This window comes from Homo sapiens, chromosome 5 (assembly GCF_000001405.40).
Source record: "Homo sapiens chromosome 5, GRCh38.p14 Primary Assembly".
NCBI lineage: Eukaryota > Metazoa > Chordata > Mammalia > Primates > Hominidae > Homo > Homo sapiens.
The window spans coordinates 140,818,589-140,837,620 of record NC_000005.10 but is presented as its reverse complement, the minus strand read 5'-3'; the positions used below and the strand labels follow the sequence as shown (position 1 = coordinate 140,837,620).

Here is a 19,032-nt window from a genome sequence, read left to right as displayed (position 1 = left end):
GAAGGGGCAAATTATAAAATATATATATTGGCGATTTACAATTTGGTGATTGTAAATATATTTATATAATTTGGCAATAATAATCTTGGGAATATACAAAAAAAGTAAACTGCTTCAGAAATTCAGAAAGGTAAAGTAAATGGTTTGGGGTTTGAGGAGGCAAGGAGATTTTTTACTACGTACTAGATTTCACTCTTTGAAATTTTGAATGTGAATATATTTCTTATACAAACAAGGAACAAAATAAAAAATACTATTAAACTGCCATTTAAACTATTTTAAATTGTTCATATTAATTCTTCATGAACATGGCAAATACATCTCAACAAAGTAAGTTAAAAAGAAGTCAGTGCTACACAAATATGATAAAAAGAAGATAAATAGATGTAAAAGAAATGCTTAAAATTCAAGTTCTAGACTAAAGATAAAAAGGCAAAATTGAACAGATGATTTTGACACAGCTATATTTTATAAAATGAGGACAATACATAGAATAAAATATTAGGTAACATATATATTAAATTTGTTTACTATAACATTTATAGGTATTGATTATCAAAATATGGAAATGTAAATATTTGATTTTGTAAATACACTATAGAAGAAAGGTGAATCCATTGCTCCAGTTAGCAAAGTCCTCCTCCAAAAATGGAGAGTAGCCAACATAAACCATAGATTTTGATCTATAGTATTACGCATCCCAAAACAAAAGTGTATATTAAACGTACTTCCAAATAATTAGTGCAAATACAGCATAACATTAAAAAATAATAATTATACATAAAGCTATCAACTAAAAAAGAAATTATGAAAGAAAATTTAAGGAGACCAATTGAACTAATTGTTTTAAAATTGTTGGAAACAAGATTATTTATGACTCACATTGTCTGTAGAGGATGGACCCTGAGGAAGGCTGGGACTGAAGGCCATGAGGTCTGTCTTGGGTGGGCCCTCCCCAGAGCACACCCTCTGCCGCCTCTGCTGGGAGAATGACCAGCTCCCCACCGCGCTGGAGCACACCAGAGTGGGCTTTACCAAACTACATGCGCCCTCAGAGGACGGCGCTGAGCACCGCAACGCCGTGTACAGCAGCAGGGTAAGCACCAACAGACTGGACACCGCGCAGATGGCGATGATCAGGTACACGTTGACATCCACCAGCTCGGTCTCTGGGCCTGCAATGCCCAACGATGCCCGCGACGACGCCTTTGGTGCCTGGCCGCTTTCCACCAGCGACACCAGCACGGTGGCTGTGGCTGTCAGCGAGGGCTCCCCGTGGTCCTTCACAAGCACCAGAAGGCGGTGGCGCGGTGCGTCCGTCTCATCTAGGGCTCGTGTCGTGCTGATCTCACCAGTGTACAGCCCCACGCGGAACGGGATGCTCGCACCGGCCGCCACCGGTTGCAACTCATACGAAAGCCACGCGTTGTAGCCTGAGTCAGCGTCAACTGCACGTACCTTCGCCACCACATGGCCCGCGCCCACAGACCGCGGCACAAGCTCTCTCACTGCGCCACCAGTGCCACCCACCCGAGGCGCCAGCAGTGCCGGCGCGTTGTCGTTCTCGTCCAGCACGAACACCTGCAGCGTCACGTTGCTGCCCAGAGGCGGCACGCCCGCATCGCGCGCGCTCACCTGGAACTGCAACAGCTCCAGCTCCTCGTGGTCCAACGGCTGCAGCGCGTACACCTTGCCGCTCTCCGCGTGCACTGACACGTAGCTCGACAGCGCGCGCTCGCCCACCCGCAGCTCCACCAGCGAGTAGGACACCAGCGCGTTCTTCTGCGCGTCCGCGTCCCCCGCCGACACAGTGAAGATGTGGCAGCCCGGCGGGTTGTTCTCCTTCACGAACACCGTATACTCGGGCTGCGCGAACGCCGGGGCGTTGTCGTTCACGTCGGCCACCTCCACGGACACGCTAGCAGTGGCCCACAGAGAAGGCGAGCCCCCGTCCCGCGCGGTAACCACCAGCTCATAGGCGGACACACTCTCGCGGTCCAGAGCGCTGTCCAGCACCAATGAATAGTAATTCTTGAAGGTGGACACCAACTTGAAGGGAACGCGGGGCGTCAGGGAGCAGGTAACCTGTCCGTTGACTCCAAAATCTCGGTCAAACACGCTAATCAATGTGATGACGGTACCTGGTTGGGCGTCCTCTGGAATAGGGAGAGACAGGGAAGTGAGAGTCAACTGTGGAGCATTGTCATTTACATCCACAACTTCCACAAGAACTGTACAATGACCAGCCAGGGGTGGGAAGCCTTTATCGACAGCCTCGACTGGGATCTTGTGTGCTCTACTTTCTTCAAAATCCATATGTCCTATCACTGTGATTGCCCCACTTAAGGGGTCCATGTGGAACTTGGATTTTATATCTGGAGAAACATCACTGGAGAAGGAGTAAATAATATCCCCATTCAAGCCTTCGTCTAAATCTGAGGCATTGGGGTGAATCACCAGCGTTCCGATAGAAACGTTTTCTGGTAATTTCACCGTATACAGGGTTCTGTCGAACACTGGGGCATTGTCATTGTTGTCCAGTACCGTGATGAGTAATTGAACGGTGCCAGTCAGCTCGGGTTTGCCTCCATCGGTGGCCGTGAGCAATAAATGAAGCTCCGGAGTTTCTTCTCTGTCTAAAAGTTTCCGTAATACAAGTCCAAGAGGTTTTACCTGCTGGTTGCTGGTTGGCACGTCCAGGAAGAAATACTCATTGGGGCTCAGTCTGTAAGTGAGCAGGGCGTTCTCCCCGATATCTGCATCGGACGCGCCCTCTAGTGGAAACCGAGAGTCAAGCGGCCTGGATTCCGCGATGAACAGATTCCTTTGTGTCGCTGGGAACACCGGAGGGTTGTCGTTAATGTCCTTCACCTCCACGTCCACATGGAAAACCTGCAGCGGCCTTTCCACGATCACCTCCAGGTGGATGCTGCACTCCGCGCTCCGCCCGCACAGCTCCTCGCGGTCGATCCGAGAATTCACAAACAAAATGCCATTCTGCAGATTTACCTCCAGAAGATCCCCACGGAATTTGCACACCGCCCGGAACAGGCGCGGCACCAGCTCCGCCAGCTCCAGCCCCAGGTCCTGCGCGATGCGGCCCACGAAGTTGCCATGTTTAGCCTCCTCGGGGACCGAGTAGTGGAGCTGGCCTCTCCCTGCCTCCCAAGCTGCTAGAATTATAATAAACAGCAGTAGATGTCGGCCCCCTGGGTCGTATCCATTCGGGCACACCATTTCAAATTATTGGCTTGTTTTTCTAGTCAGCAAAACTTGCCTTCGAATTTATAGGAATGTTTTTATCCCTTCATTTCAATCTCGATGTGTGGCCATTGTTGTGCATCCAAAGAGTGAAAGAGAGTGGAGCGTCTTTCCAGTGCGAAAAGGAATGACTTCCTTTTGCTGATTACGAAAGAATTTGCGGTAAAGAGCGACATCATGTGGCCATCATGTAAGTAAGAATTACAAACCATTACAAACTATTAATCAGATGAAAAGTTTTATTTCAAACTCTGAATTTTTTTCTTCATTGTTGTTAAAGGTTAAAATAGCATTTCTCATGATTGTTAGAAGCATTCTTAGGCGACTGATGGCTTTTGAATACTCAGTGTTACCAGAACTGTAGCTTCCTCATGCCTTAGAAAAACTTTTTTTTCACACAGTTTTAAATAAAGATAGAAACCTAAGTGACAACATGAATTTAAACAACTGCAAGTTTAAATTCCTTTGATCTAGATCCCAGGAAACTTCATATTCTTGATTCAGTATCGCTTGTTAAGAAAAATCCTGTACTCTTTTAGGGACCCAGGATCTCAAGAATCTACTGATTGATGAAAGAGAAACTTAGAAAGCGGTGTGTGTGTGTGTGTTTTCTTTTTAGGAGGCAAGAAACATTAGCAACTATCCAGACACTTCTCTTGGGAAAACAAAATAAGAGAAGGTTTGGGGAATCTTTGAAGGGGAAGAATTTGTATCATGTGAACTTTTTGAGGAGGAAGTATTCTGAATTTTTTGCTTTAGCAGAATCTATATATACTGTTTCAGGAGTTCATCATTTTATATTTGTTTCCTCATTCTATCCTTTCGAACACTTGTGTGTTATGAATATATGCCTATTTTTACAATCTCAAATATGATTTGTATTATTTCTTTTAAAATGTAAGTTTATTTTATTAGATAAATTTCAGTGCTCAGCCATCTCACATACAGCAGCCCTTTGATCAAGTCTTGAGGTATTTCATCCTTTTTGGATCTACCTTACTGTGTTCGTTTTCTGGAATGTTTCACTCCAATGTTCCCAATGGCATGTAAAATAATTATGTCTGTATTCAGATGCTTTCCTAAATAAGTTTTTATAATTGCTGCTCTCCTGGTGTATTGCAGTAGCTTCTTATTGTGTAACCTGTCCATTCCTATTTCATTCTCCTTCATTTAATCCTTGCAGTCATCTTCCGTTAATACTTTTTATTCGTATTGCTTCACACTTTTTGACAGCTTTCAAATGACTTTGAAGAGTGTCAAAATTACTCGTCTAGTACTCAAAGTTATACAAAAGGTTTTTCTCATATTACTTTTCTTGCTTTATATCACACTCTCTCTTATGGGAACCATGTGCTTTACCCAAAGTGGACTATTCCTCATTTCTAGGTACATTTGGAATTTTCTGTATACTCACTTAAGTTACTCTCTTCTCATGAATACCTGTTAGTCTCCATATTCTCCCAGGGAAAACTCTTTCCATTTTATAACCAGTAAAACATCATGACTCTTCACGGTCTCCTTCAACAAGGGAAAAAGGCAAAGATTTTTTTCCAATTCCAATAACACTATGATGTACCTTTCTAGCACCTCTTACAATATTCTTGCTTTTACTATCATCGTATTTATGTAGGATACTTACCTTTATTTATCTATTAAATTTGAAGCCAGGTCTTGTTAATTCGATGATTCTCAGCAGGCACAGTGTGATACTCTTAAAGACCCTCCTAGGAACTTTTTAAAAAACATTTACTCACTAGCAACGCTATAGTTCTCTACTTCCTAAGAAAGTATGCTGTTTTGAGGCTGTTAGATATCATTAGCTACACAAATGGTGATCTTCAGTATAATCAGAGACAATTCTGCCACTCTTAAGTATGTAGAGTTAGTTTTTTTAAATTTTAGTGCAATATTAATTACACGCTTAAAAATTATCATGTACTTCTTTTAGAAAACAGAAAATACCACTACCAGTTTCTGCCATTTCAAGAATGGAAAATGCTCACATTAGGAAACACAAACCACAACTCAGTCCTCTAATGGCCCTTAAGCAACTTTTAAATGTGGGCAAATACACCATTCATGCTTAATGTAGTCTAATATTTCCTGGGAACATGGACAACACAAAAAGTCAAAACCAACTCCAGGAAATCACTGAGGACTCAGCAGGTTAAATGTCTTTTGAATTCATAAAACTTTTCCACTGTCCAAGTCTTAATTCAATTTTCAACTTTGAAACACACATTTTAAATTGCTTTTAATGTAGAACATGGCATTTAAAATGTTAGAGACATCTCAGATTAAATTGGTAATTATGGCCTCACTATGAATAACAAAAATTCAATCTTTACGTAAAATGAAAACAATATGGAATCCGTAATGAGAGTTTCCTAGCATAAAATGACATAAAGTTTTTCTTTTCCTCTTCGGAAAACTAGTAGCAAATTTTTTAAGCACTTGCTATTTGGCAAACACAGTTATAAGCGCCTTACAATATCAACTTACTAAAGCTTTATGACAATTCTATCATTGAAACTAGTGTTTATCATTCCAACTTTACAGAAGAAACTGAAATAGAGGTGAAACAATCCATCCACAAAACAAAATTGGTAGCGATGAAATTTAGGCAAGGGAGGATAACACCAAAACTCACACTTAATCACTACTTTTTGCTGCTTTTCATTCAAAGAAATAATGACTAGCCAAGCATAGTGGCTCACACCTATAATCTTAGTACTTTGGGAGGCCAAGGTGGGCAGATCACTTGCACCCAGTAGTTTGAGACCAGCCTGGGCAACATGGAGAAACCCCATCTCTTAAAAAAAAAAAAAAAAAAAAAAAAGGTGGGGGGCATGGTGGTGCTCGTGTGTAGTAACTCCAGAGGCTGAGGTGAGAGAATCACTTGAGCCCAGGCATTCGAGGGTGCAGTGAGCCATTATTGCACCACTGTACTCCAGCATGGGTGACAGAGCAAGACCCTGTCACACACACACACACACATACAAAATAGTGAATAGTTTAAATTACTGTGTAGAAACAATGAAAACACTAATACAAAGAAATAGATTTAGACTCCATGAAGAGAAGACCATCAAGTGAAATTCAAACAGAAATAAGAGAGCCGCAATGCCAGAGGAATGCAGTTTTCATATAAATTTACTTGATCACAAGGTCTAAATTCTGTTGAATCACTATTTTTCCATTATTTAGATCGGTAGTAAATAAATCAATAACCATAACAACCAGAAGTATTCAGGCTGATAACTATTGTTTTTGTCCTTTATTCCTCAATGGTTTAAAAGGGGGACAATAAATGAACACTATTGCCTCCCGGAATCACAAGTCTGAAAAGGGAACCACAGATAAAAACTATGATGATCAGAGTTCTTACACAAAATGGATAAAATCAAAGCGTTAGCTTAATAAAAGTGTCGACAGAAAAACATTGAAATGGAAAGTGTAAAAACATAAGTGATACACTGGTGCTCAAATTTCAATATATGATCAAAAAAGAGTATATGTAAAAAAATTATCCTAAAGCTCAAAGGCAAACAAATGAAAATCCCATATAATTAATCAGAAAAAAATGCTACTATGATTCTGAATTAAAATGCAACAGAAAACGACATATCCAAGAATATTTTGGTTTGAAGACAAAAATTCTGAGGTGCAGATTGTGGACAGTGATTTCTAATTTCACTTAAATTATGAATATTAAAGAAGCAAAGAGATTAAAATAAGAAACACAATAAAATGAAAATATGTAATTTTGTAAAATTAATTAAAAATTAAAAACAGAAATATAGAAGACAAATATGAGGAAAACAATTATAAATTTAAAATAAAAATTAACTGTTAATTATGAAAATTCACTTACTTTGGCATCATGATCTTCATTTAAATCCTGATTCTCCGCCTTACCCATCATAATAGGACAAGGTGAAAGGCTGGGGCTAAAGGCCATGAGATCCATCTTGGGTGGGCCCTCCCCGGAGCACACCCTCTGCCGCCTCTGCTGCGAGTACGACCAGCTCCCCACTGCGCTGGAGCACACCAGCGTGGGCTTGTCCGCCGTGCACGCGCCCTCGGTGGGTGGCGCCGAGCACCGCAGCGCTGTGTACAGCAGTAGCGTGAGGACCAGCAGGCTGGATACCGCGCAGATGGCGATGATCAGGTACACGTTGACATCCACCAGCGCCGCCTCTGGGCCCGCGGCGCCCACCGACGCCCGTGATGACGCCTTTGGAGCCTGGCCACTCTCCACCAGCGACACCAGAACCGTGGCCGTCGCTGTCAGCGCCGGCTCACCGTGGTCTTTCACCAGCACCAGCAGCCGGTGGCGCGGAGAGTCCGCTTCGTCCAGGACACGAGTGGTGCTGATCTCGCCCGTGTACAGCCCCACGCGAAACGGGAAGCGAGCGCTGCTTGCCGGGGGCTGCAGCTCATACGAAAGCCACGCGTTGTAGCCTGAGTCGGCGTCAACTGCGCGCACCTTCGCCACCACTTGGCCTGCACCCAGTGACCGCGGCACCAGCTCGCTCACTGCACCACCAGTACCACCCACCCGAGGCGCCAGCAGCGCCGGCGCGTTGTCGTTCTCGTCCAGCACGAACACCTGCAGCGTCACGTTGCTGCCCAGAGGCGGCACGCCCGCGTCGCGCGCGCTCACCTGAAACTGCAGCAGCTCTAGCTCCTCGTGGTCCAGCGGCTGCAGCGCGTACACCTTGCCGCTCTCCGCGTGCACCGAAATGTAGCTCGACAACGCGCGCTCGCCCACCCGCCGCTCCACCAGCGAGTAGGACACCAGCGCGTTCTCCTGCGCGTCCGCGTCTCGCGCAGACACCGTGAAGATGTGGCAGCCCGGCGGGTTGTTCTCCTTCACGAACACTGTGTACTCGGGCTGCGCGAACGCCGGAGCATTGTCATTCATGTCGGCCACCTCCACAGACAAGCTGGCGGTGGCCCACAGCGAAGGCGAGCCCCCGTCCCGCGCGGTTACCACCAACTCATAGGCCGACACGCTCTCGCGGTCCAGGGCACTGTCCAGCACCAACGAGTAGTAATTCTTGAAGGTGGACACCAGCTTGAAAGGGACGTGAGGCGTCAGCGAGCAGTTCACCTGCCCGTTGGCACCTGAATCGAGGTCGTTCACGCTAATTAGGGCGATGACAGTACCAAATTGAGCGTCTTCACGTACAGGCAAGGATAAGGAAGTCAGTGCTATCTCAGGGACGTTATCATTTTTATCCAAAATTCTCACTAAAACGGTGCAATGACCCGCCATGGGAGGATGGCCTTTGTCCGTGGCGTCAATGAGGATTTTGTATAAGTTTTCTTGTTCAAAATCCAAATTACCCCGAATCACTATTTCTCCCGTATTTCGATCTATGCTAAAGTGGTCAATAACCATGGCTGCAACAAGGCTATTAAAAGAATATGAAATTGCCCCATTCGCTCCTTCATCCCGATCAGAAGCATTCAGTCTGATAACTGTTGTTCCGTTGTCTGCATTTTCGAATATTCTTACTTCGTATTCAGACTGTTCGAAAGTGGGAGCATTATCATTCACATCCAGCACTGTGACCAGCAGCTGAACAGTGCCTGTGAGCTCAGGTTTGCCCCCATCTGTGGCTGTCAGGAATAAGTTGTGTGCAGGAGCTTCCTCTCTGTCCAAGGATTTCTTTAATAAGAGCCCAATTTGTTTATTGTCATCACTGTTTATTTTCACATCTAGCCCGAAGTATTCGCTAGAACTGAGTTTATAGGTTAAGATGGAATTTGAGCCAACATCTGCATCGGACGCGCCCTCCAGTGGAAACACAGAATCTGGCAGCCTAGATTCGTAAATCAGCACTCTTTGTTCCTCTACCGGGAACAAGGGCGGGTTGTCGTTAATGTCCCTCACCTCCACGTCCACATGGAAAACCTGCAGCGGCCTGTCCACGATCACCTCCAGGTGGATGCTGCACTCCGCGCTCCGCCCGCACAGCTCCTCGCGGTCGATCCGAGAATTCACAAACAAAATGCCATTCTGCAGATTTACCTCCAGAAGGTCCTCGCGGTCTTTGGAGGCCATCCTGAACAGGCGCGGCACCAGCTCCGCCAGCTCCAGCCCCAGGTCCTGCGCGATCCGGCCCACGAAGGTGCCGTGTTTGGCCTCCTCGGGTACGGAGTAGTGGAGCTGGCCGCTCCCCACCTTCCAGGCTGCGAGGAGCAGAAGCGGGAGGAGCAGACATTGCTTTCCCAATCTATCCTCCGGGGTAAACACCATGTCAAATACCTCTGGTTTTATTTCCATTAGAAGATCTTCCGCATAAAGATAAAATACTGTATGTTCCGGAATTTATTAATCCATTTCTTCTGCGTCCGCCATCATTCAACAGTCAGGGAATGATGCAGTAATAGAAGAAATTTGAATGTTGGCTAGCTATAACTTCATGGTAGACAGCGACATCATGCGGCTCCAAAAGGTAAGAAATCAATTCACGTAACAGTGCTATACCATATATTTTTAAAACAGTATCTTCTTTTCTCTACTTTTATAGTAAACCCTCCTCACGTTTGTAATTTGCACGGTCAGTGTTATCCCGACTTCTTTTATTAATTTAAAGTAAGGGATCTAATTATTCACAGCTAAACAACTTTTCTACCAATATTTGCAACATTAATATCAACCAGTTCAGCAAATTTAAGTGTTAACGGAACTGCTTTTTAAATCAGAAATGTAAACTATTCTACACTCTTGGTAGAAAAGAAACTTGCCCACATCTGTCTTTCCTAGGACATGCTATTATATAGTGCTCTAGGGAAAAAATGTAACTTAAAATTATCAAATTTTGGTTGAATTTTTAAAGCCTTATAGATTATTGAAGTCCATGCTTTCTTTGTTCAATAAATATCAGATGCTCTTAAGGTTCTTCTGTGTAATGATGGAAGATAAAATTCTAGAGCATATTCTTTATCACATTTAATTTATCTGCAGCTTATATTAGGATTCTTGCTTAAAATATTTTCTTTTCATATACTTCACCACTTCAAATTCTAGTGGAATTTCTACCCATTGTGCTTTGCTGTTTTTGATTCTTCAGCTGTTCCTAAATGATCTCGTTTTTCTCTCTCAACTTCAACCCTGTCCCATATCCTTTCCTTTAATTGTTCTCACTCACTTCCAAGTTTTGAATAAGACTTTTATTGAGGTATTTACAAATCCATATCTGCATCCCTTCTTTCTATGTTTCTAATTGTCACTTTCACCTATACATGCTGACTCCTAGAAAATAGTTTGTTAAATAGCAAGGCATGAGCAATTATTAATAATCCCCAAATTCAAATTTTTAAATTCATATTTTTAATGACATGAGCATTTCCCATGTCACCTATATTACTTTTTAAATTACTCCTTTTCCCTGGCTTGCCTTATTCCACATCCACCTAAGTCCATCTGTCTTTCACATGCTATCATATTTATCTTTATGAGTACAGCTTTCATTGAATTTTACTAAACCTAGAAATTGCAAGACACTTGAGAAACTTCTAGTAACCTAATATGTAATCACATGTTAGGTAATCAACTTTTTGCAGGTTATTTTCAATTACTCTCCAATATGAATCTTATTTTTCTGACAATATAGACCACTTGCTCTTCCTCTTTCTCAATACCACCTTTGTTTTAGCTGGGTTTTTTTAATTACGTCTACAATTTACTTGCAAAAATGTTACCTTCATATAAAAGTCAGGGCCAAATATCAACTTCGCCCTTAATTTAACCTTAATGTTATCCATTTGAAGTGATTAAACCCCTCCTTCAAAGGAGAAAAATAGAGTCACCAATAAGACTTTTCAAATGACATGATCATCTTCACCTTACTCCAAAATTCTGATATACAGTAAAATGCCTCACAGATGATTGTGACACAAAGCCTTTTCTTCCATGTGAAATTCTATCTTAAAATAATTAACCTGGATCTATTTAGTAGTTCTTATCACTGACTTTCTATTGCAGTTATTTTGGGCAAACAAAGGGTTCAATTTCTTAACCAAAAACAATCCCCAAAACAAGAGGTTCCTATAAAAAAGACAAGCTGCACAAAATATACATAAAGACTTGATATATAAAGAGATATATAAATAGTTTATATCACAAAACTTGATTTTTTAAAATGTGACCATTGTTAACTTTAGATTTATAGAATGACAAAAACTATTTCTCAATTTCTAGGACTTCCTCAAAGTAGCTCAGGATATTAGGAATATATAAATAGCATGATAGAAGGGTACTTATAAAATTGAATGCATATGAGAATAAAAGAAACAGGCAAAGCAACAGAAATAGGGAATTCACATTTTATCATGTAAAGTGTGGACTATTTACTACCTATAAATCCATACTTTTCCCCTCAAAAGAGTAGACAAATGGTTCTCATTATTTCAGATGGAGAGGACACCTGTCTAGCGTAGTCTCAAACATACAGCTTTAATAAACAACTCTTTGTAAACAACTCAAGAGGGGAGTTTGTATCATGGTATATTTATTTTTTTAATCTAAAAGTAACAACAAGCAGTAAAATTTCCCAACCAAAATATAGTAGAATTTGCACAACTGAGGAGATTCACAGTTACTCCTCATCAATATAATAATTTAGGCCAGGCGCGATGGCTCATGCCTGCAATCCCAGCACTTTGGGAGGCCGAGGCGGGTAAATCACCTGAGATTAGGAGTTCGAGACCACCATGACCAACATGGTGAAACCCCGTCTCTAGTAAATACAAAAAATTAGCCAGGTGTGGGCACATGCCTGTAATCCCAGCTACTTGGGAAGATAAGGCAGGAGAATCGCTTGAACCTGGGAGGCCAAGATTGTACCATTGCACTCGTTTGGGCAACAAGAGCAAAATTCTGTATCAAAATATCTGATATATATTATTATTATATATTTATTATATATATTATATAAAATATATAATATATTAGATATATATTAGATATTTTAGATATTTATATATCTAATATATATTAGATATATTGAAAAATATGCAAATTTCCAGAAAATTAAATCATTGTTCCACTAAATGTTAATGTTAAGGGAAAAATAACCAATCACATACCTACACAATGGAACACCATAGATCCAGATAAAAGAAAAACAAATCTACTTCAGTAATGATAATTCATGATCATCAAGATACATTAGTAAATGAAAAAAGCAAGATTAAAATCAATACTCATATGTTTTTTAAGGGGGTAGGGAAGTTTATTTGTATATGAAAAAAATCTCTAGAAGGATACCAGAGAATGTTTTGGCTTCATGAAGGAGGTGAAAGGGAAAATTTAACTGTATTCTTTTGCACCTTTAGAACAGTAAACCATGTATATGTGTTTCCTATTCAAAAAATCAATAAAATGAAAAATATAATTTTTAAATTACAATTATCAAATTCATCATGGGTATACAGGTGAACTGCTTAGGCAAAGTTGAAATAAACCATATGCTGCAAAAATACAATTGAAAACAAACTAAATTAGTGTAATAAAATAATAATTAATTTAAATTCAATAGAAACAAAAAGGCAAAATTGGAAGGGTGGTGTTAAAACATTTTTATAGGCCAGGCACTCTTGCTCAATCCTGTAATCTTAGTACTTCGGGAGGCTGAGACGGGAGCATGGCTTCAAACCAGGAGTTCAAGACCAGCCTGGGCAAAGTAGCAAGACCCCTATCTCTACAGAAAATAAAAAAAAAAAAAAAAAAAAAACTTTAATTAGCATGTGCATGTAGTCCAGCTACTTGGGCGGCTGAGATAGGAGGATCACTTGAGCCCAGGAGTTTCAGGCTTCGGTGAGCTATGATCAGATCACTGCAGACTAAGCAACAAAGGGTCTCTAAAAAATAACAATAAAATAAAATAAATTTTCATGTAGTCATAAACTGAAACTTTGAGAATGACTCCAAACTATGTCTTACAATTATTATCCTACATTTTTAGAGATGCAAAATTCAAATGCTAATATAAAATATTATTTTAAAAACACTTAATATCACAGAAAGCTGATGAATCTATTACCCCAGCAGAAAAGCCTCATAAAAAGCATATAATACATGAATTAGTGCAATAATTGTGTACCACAATATTTGTGTACTAAGACATAATTTTTAAATACAAAAAAAGTGGGTGAATGTGACATTTAATATTTGAAAATTGGGAGGGAAAGATGGATGTTAATATTAGAAAACTCACGTTGTCTGTAGAGGTGGGACCCTGAGGAAGGCTTGGACTGAAGGCCATGAGGTCTGTTTTGGGTGGAGCTTCCCCAGAGCACACCCTCTGTCTCCTCTGCTGCGAGTACGACCAGCTCCCCACCGCGCTGGAGCACAACAGAGTGGGCTTGCCCCGTGTGCACACGGCCTCGGTGGGCTGCGCCGAGCACCGCAGCGCGGTGTACAGCAGCAGCGTGAGCACCAGCAGGCTGGACACCGCACAGATGGCGATGATCAGGTACACGTTGACATCCACCAGGGCAGCCTCGGGACCCACAGCGCCCGCCGACGCCCGCGATGAGGCCTTCGGCGCCTGGCCACTTTCCACCAGCGACACCAGCACTGTGGCTGTGGCTGTCAGCGGGGGCTCTCCATGGTCCTTCACCAGCACCAGAAGGCGGTGGCGCGGTGCTTCGGTCTCATCCAGAGAGCGTGTTGTGCTGATCTCGCCTGTGTACAGCCCCACGCGGAACGGGATGCGCGCACTGCCAGGCGCTGGCTGCAGCTCATACGAAAGCCAAGCGTTGTAGCCCGAATCAGGGTCCACTGCGCGCACCTTCGCCACCACGTGGCCCGCACCCACTGACCTCGGCACCAGCTCGCTCACTGCGCCGCCGGTGCCACCCACTCGAGGCACCAGCAGCGCCGGCGCGTTGTCGTTCTCGTCCAGCACGAACACCTGCAGCGTCACGTTGCTGCCCAGAGGCGGCACGCCCGCGTCGCGCGCGCTCACCTGGAACTGCAGCAGCTCCACTTCCTCGTGGTCCAGCGGCTGCAGCGCGTACACCTTGCCGCTCTCCGCGTGCACCGAAACGTAACTCGACAGCGGGCGCTCGCCCACCCGCCGCTCCACCAGCGAGTAGGACACCAGGGCGTTCTCCTGCGCGTCCGCGTCCCGTGCAGACACCGTGAAGATGTGGCAGCCTGGCGGGTTGTTCTCCTTCACGAACACGGTATACTGGGGCTGCGCGAACGCCGGAGCGTTGTCGTTCACGTCGGCCACTTCCACAGACACGCTGGCGGTGGCCCACAGCGAAGGCGAGCCCCCGTCCCGCGCGGTCACCACCAGCTCATAGACCGACACGCTCTCGCGGTCCAGGGCGCTGTCCAGCACCAACGAGTAGTAATTCTTGAAGGTGGACACCAGCTTGAAGGGAACGTGGGGCATTAGGGAGCAGGTCACCTGCCCGTTGGCACCTGAGTCACGGTCAGACACGCTGATCAGAGCAATGACCGTGCTGAGTGGAGCGTCCTCTTTGACAGGCAGGAAAAGGGTGGTTATGGCCATCTCTGGGGTATTATCATTCACATCCAGGAGTTTCACTACTACTTTACAGTGTCCTGATAATGGGAATGTACTTTTATCCATGGCATCAATATTAATTTCATATGAGTTATAGTCTTCATAATCCAGTTCCCCGTTAACTTTTATTTCACCAGTATTAGAATTAATTATAAATTTGGACTTTACATCGTCAAGAACAAGATTACTAAAGAAATACACTATTTCCTTATTGATGCCCTCATCTGCATCTGAGGCGTTCAGTTTAATAACTAATGTCCCACTTGGTGCATTTTCCAACAATCTGACATTATAAATGGATTTATCAAATTCTGGGGCGTTATCATTAGCATCCAATACATTGATCAACAACTGAACTGTACCTGTTAGTTCGGGTTTTCCTCCATCAGTTGCAATCACTAATAAACGGTGTTCTTGTGTTTCTTCTCTATCTAAGGATTTCCTCAAAACCAGCTCTAAAAAGTTCGTTTCTTCTTCATTTGTTTTAACATCTAAGTCAAAATATTCGTTTGGATTTAACCTGTATCTCAATTGTGCATTTGCTCCAATATCCAAATCCGACGCGCCCTCTAGCGGAAACCGCGAATCTGGCATTCTTGACTCTAAAATGAATAATCTTTGTTCTTGTCTGGAGAACCTGGGCGGATTGTCATTGATGTCCTTCACTGCCACCTCCACATGGAAAACCTGCAGCGGCCTGTCCACGATCACCTCCAGGTGGATGCTGCACTCCGCCCTCCGCCGGCACAGCTCCTCCCGGTCGATCCGAGAATTCACAAACAAAATGCCATTCTGCAGATTTACCTCCAGAAGGTCCCCGCGGCCCTTGGACGCCACCCGGAACAGGCGCGGCACCAGCTCCGCCAGCTCCAGCCCTAGGTCCTGCGCGATGCGGCCAACGAAGGTTCCGTGTTTGGCTTCCTCCGGGATCGAGTAGTGGAGCTGGCCGCTCCCTGCCTTCCAGTAGGCAAGGAGAAGCCAGAGCAGCAGGAGCCGGGATCCCAGACTTCCTCTCCGGGAATATACCATCTCAATCTCGTTCCAATTATGAGCTTTCTATTGCATCACCACACAATGTATTTTGTAAATTCAATTCCCAATTAACTATATATTTTTTATATTATCGCCTTTCTGAGCTTCTTGGCACAGCCAAAAATGGAAGGTTCTTTTCCTTTCTGTCTAAGGAAAATCTACTCACTGTATTCCTTTGAGGCTGGGAAGGGAGAAAAACCTTCCGGTGTCCAGCGACATCATGTGGATGAAAGGGTAAGTGTTTTATTTTGTTTTGCTTTATTTAGCTTATATTCGTCAATATTTCTCAAGTATTCTCACTTTCAATGACATGATTCTTATTCTTTAAATCACTTATCTCTAGTCAAAATATATCATTAAACTCTATCTTAAAATGCGTCAATATAAGTGCGTCATTAAAATATTACAGAAAAATACATCTAAAGTCATGAAACCCCAATCCTTACTAGAGAAATTTGTGCTGGTGTATTTTATATAGGGAGGAGTTTATATATTTCCAAACTGATAAAAATAACTTTTAAGAGTTAAAGTTTTGACTTTTCTCATCTCTATTTAAACATATCTAATTAAAACTTTTGAGTTTTTTCTGTATTAGTCAATGGAATGTTTGTATGCTATCTCCGTGTTACTCATAAAACAAATTTTTATTCCAATTTCACTGTTTAATAGTGACATTTTGTTGATGTTATTTTCAAAAACAACTAAAACTATTTTAATGGCATTCTTACCTGAGTTTCTTCTCGGAGTTCTAATTTTCAAATCGATGAAAACCTATTTCTTTATCTATAACACCTATCTACTTTTTGTATTGACTCAAAAACTGTAATGGGGATATTTCAGCTTTCTAGAAATCAAAAGCATAATAGAACGACTTTGGTAAATCGTCTTTGCACTATTTTCAAATTAGAAGCATCTAGATAGCATTTCTTCAAGTTGCTATTACTGATAAAGCAATTATTAAAAATTGTAAAATACATACCTTTGTACTTACATAACAAGTCAAAATCCTAATATTGTCTATATGACATACTATTTCACAAAATGTTTAGGTTCCAGTAAATATAATCATGTTGAAAAGAATATCATTTTATTAACCAGGCTATCTTTATATTAGTTTAATTACTTTTTAATCTCCCAACTGTTTACTGGATGGTATGATTTGAACACGACCTAGAAAATTTAGTAAACTTCACTTAATAAATATGGGCAAAAGAAAATATCACCAAGTTTTCTATTGAAGAAATAGCTAACATTCTGCTTGTATATATACTCCATAAAATTCCTTAAATATTACAAAATATCCCTTACCTGTGAAGACAAGAGGGACCAAGAGATTAGCAATTCTATTGTTGGATACTTTTACATTTAAAATATAGCTTGATAAGAAAAAAGAAATTACCAGAAAATGCAAAGTCAGAGGAAATTCACTTGATTTCTGGAATTCAAACTTGTAAAGAAACAAGATATTGTCATAGAATTGTTTCTGATACAATCTTTAAAGATATATTTACCAGTTCCCTTATAAGATTTTTACTATCTCTATTATCATGACTTTTCACTAATATTTGGATCGTTGAAACACAAATCAATTTCCCAGACTATTTGCCTAATAGTTTTCATACTGATAATTTTGAAATATTTTAATACACAATGGTTAAAAACATAAGAAAATGATAATAAATATTTAGAAAACAGCATTAGCTGATGTTAGCCACTTTCTATTATATAACAGTAAATAATGTAAAACTACAAAGCTATGGAATAAATTATAGTAGAATTTTATACAAAATACACAAAGATAACCTTTGAAAAAAGTAAATATTAAGTATTTAAAAGGCAAATTAACAATGTAGTATTAACAATGTGTACATTGTAATCTGCAGAGTATTATGATAAATACTGAGTATTTTAAAAGATATACTCAATGGAGAAAAAGTCATCAACAATATCAGTTCACATGCTCCTCTCAGTCTGGAAAAAATATCTCATGTACTTATATAGATATTTCAGGAGGAAACAAGACTCTTGACTTTTGATTCACTTTCATATCTGTTAAATTATATTTACTTTTTAAATTATCACTTGCATTTGTGCTACAGTGATCAACTCTTATTTTGAATATTCCTTTCTCAGTAACTATAGATTATCCAATCTGAATTTCATGGGAGACTCCACAGGAAAAGAACATTTTAAAAAATCTTCTTCTAAGCTATTTTCTTCAATCAAATGTTACAGATTATTTTCTTGACTGATCCAGTTAACCTCTCCTTTAGATATTTCAGTCATGTTTAAGCATCATTGTGTAAACAGAAGTTCTTCCTTGAGAAAAAAATTTAGATTTAAAACTGTGTAGTATATTAAAGTGTCTCCATTTAATTCACTAAAAGCCTTTAGAAATATACTAACACAAGAAAATTTAATCTTCATAAGGGTACAAATGTCCTTTATTCCTTACAAAACCCAGAATAAAATTTTAATAAGCTATATTTTTCTTCTCTTATCTATAGAAATTATATAGATATACCAGATTGCAGAGAAGAGGAAATGTTGAAGCAATTGTATAAAAATGTATAAATAATTTATGCACATATGTCATTTGATTCTTCAAAAATTAATTCTGTATAAAAATTAATTTATTCTATTATAAGGATAGTAAGAAAGGATACCATGAGCATATAATACACATCTTAGCGCTGCCTGTATAATGAGTCACAGAGGAAGGTATAACTGCCCTATAAGGGAATGTGCTAAAATATCCATATTATATATCCTCTGTGGATAGAAAATATGAGAATAGTTCTAACATATCCCTGAGATAGTGAATATCAATGTTCATGTCAAATAATCTCACTTAATAGAAAGGGACAATGAAGCTAAATTCAAGAGATGCAATCTCAGGCATCTTTTTTATGCCTCTACCTATAGTTGATTCTATACAACTGGGTGACAAAGAGTCTCACTCTGACCGAGGCTGGAGTGCAGTGGTACAGTCAAAGTTCATTGCAGCCTCAGGCTCAAGCCATCCTCCAACTTCAGCCTCCCAAGTAGCTGGGACCACAGGTGTGCACCACCACATCTAGCTAATTTTTTTCATTTTTTGTAAAGATGGAGTCTCCCTATATTGCTCAGGCTCATCTTGAACTCCTGGGCTCAAGCAATCCTCCTGTCATGGCCCACACAGGTG

The 19,032-nt window shown here is 41.2% G+C and overlaps 7 protein-coding genes and 1 further gene across 12 annotated transcripts in view, besides 1 other annotated feature; all 8 read right to left on the bottom strand.

Moving 5' to 3' along the window:
• The window catches only part of PCDHA7 (protocadherin alpha 7), a 178,079-nt gene extending 174,727 nt beyond the window's left edge, over positions 1-3,352 (bottom strand). Inside the window, exon 1 of one of the 2 annotated variants that reach the window (NM_018910.3) lies at positions 883-3,352. In NM_018910.3, the coding sequence (NP_061733.1) occupies positions 883-3,237 (2,355 nt within the window). In that variant the 5' untranslated portion in view covers positions 3,238-3,352. Of the gene's footprint in view, positions 1-447 lie in introns of those variants that run through there. The other variant, NM_031852.2, reaches the window with a different exon arrangement.
• PCDHA6 (protocadherin alpha 6) overlaps positions 1-9,661 on the bottom strand; it is a 184,388-nt gene extending 174,727 nt beyond the window's left edge. The window contains exon 1 of one of the 3 annotated variants that reach the window (NM_018909.4): positions 7,136-9,661. In NM_018909.4, coding sequence (NP_061732.1) covers positions 7,136-9,529 — 2,394 coding nt within the window. In that variant the 5' untranslated portion in view covers positions 9,530-9,661. Of the gene's footprint in view, positions 1-6,396 lie in introns of those variants that run through there. The other 2 variants (NM_031849.3, NM_031848.3) reach the window with 2 other exon arrangements.
• The window catches only part of PCDHA5 (protocadherin alpha 5), a 190,735-nt gene extending 174,727 nt beyond the window's left edge, over positions 1-16,008 (bottom strand). Inside the window, exon 1 of one of the 2 annotated variants that reach the window (NM_018908.3) lies at positions 13,494-16,008. In NM_018908.3, the coding sequence (NP_061731.1) occupies positions 13,494-15,845 (2,352 nt within the window). In that variant the 5' untranslated portion in view covers positions 15,846-16,008. Of the gene's footprint in view, positions 1-11,769 lie in introns of those variants that run through there. The other variant, NM_031501.2, reaches the window with a different exon arrangement.
• PCDHA@ (protocadherin alpha cluster, complex locus) overlaps positions 1-19,032 on the bottom strand; it is a 226,209-nt gene that overhangs the window by 174,724 nt on the left and 32,453 nt on the right.
• PCDHA1 (protocadherin alpha 1) overlaps positions 1-19,032 on the bottom strand; it is a 226,208-nt gene that overhangs the window by 174,727 nt on the left and 32,449 nt on the right. The window lies entirely within an intron of this gene.
• The window catches only part of PCDHA2 (protocadherin alpha 2), a 217,496-nt gene that overhangs the window by 174,727 nt on the left and 23,737 nt on the right, over positions 1-19,032 (bottom strand). The window lies entirely within an intron of this gene.
• PCDHA3 (protocadherin alpha 3) overlaps positions 1-19,032 on the bottom strand; it is a 211,291-nt gene that overhangs the window by 174,727 nt on the left and 17,532 nt on the right. The gene's annotated exons all lie outside the window — the stretch shown is intronic.
• PCDHA4 (protocadherin alpha 4) overlaps positions 1-19,032 on the bottom strand; it is a 205,280-nt gene that overhangs the window by 174,727 nt on the left and 11,521 nt on the right. The window lies entirely within an intron of this gene.
• Positions 1,412-2,059: an enhancer, noted in NCBI's record as "H3K27ac-H3K4me1 hESC enhancer chr5:140215147-140215794 (GRCh37/hg19 assembly coordinates)". NCBI's record gives its function as "activates a minimal SCP1, AML or CMV promoter by ChIP-STARR-seq in naive H9 embryonic stem cells {active_cell/tissue: H9 hESC(naive)}" and the evidence as "EXISTENCE:reporter gene assay evidence [ECO:0000049][PMID:30033119]".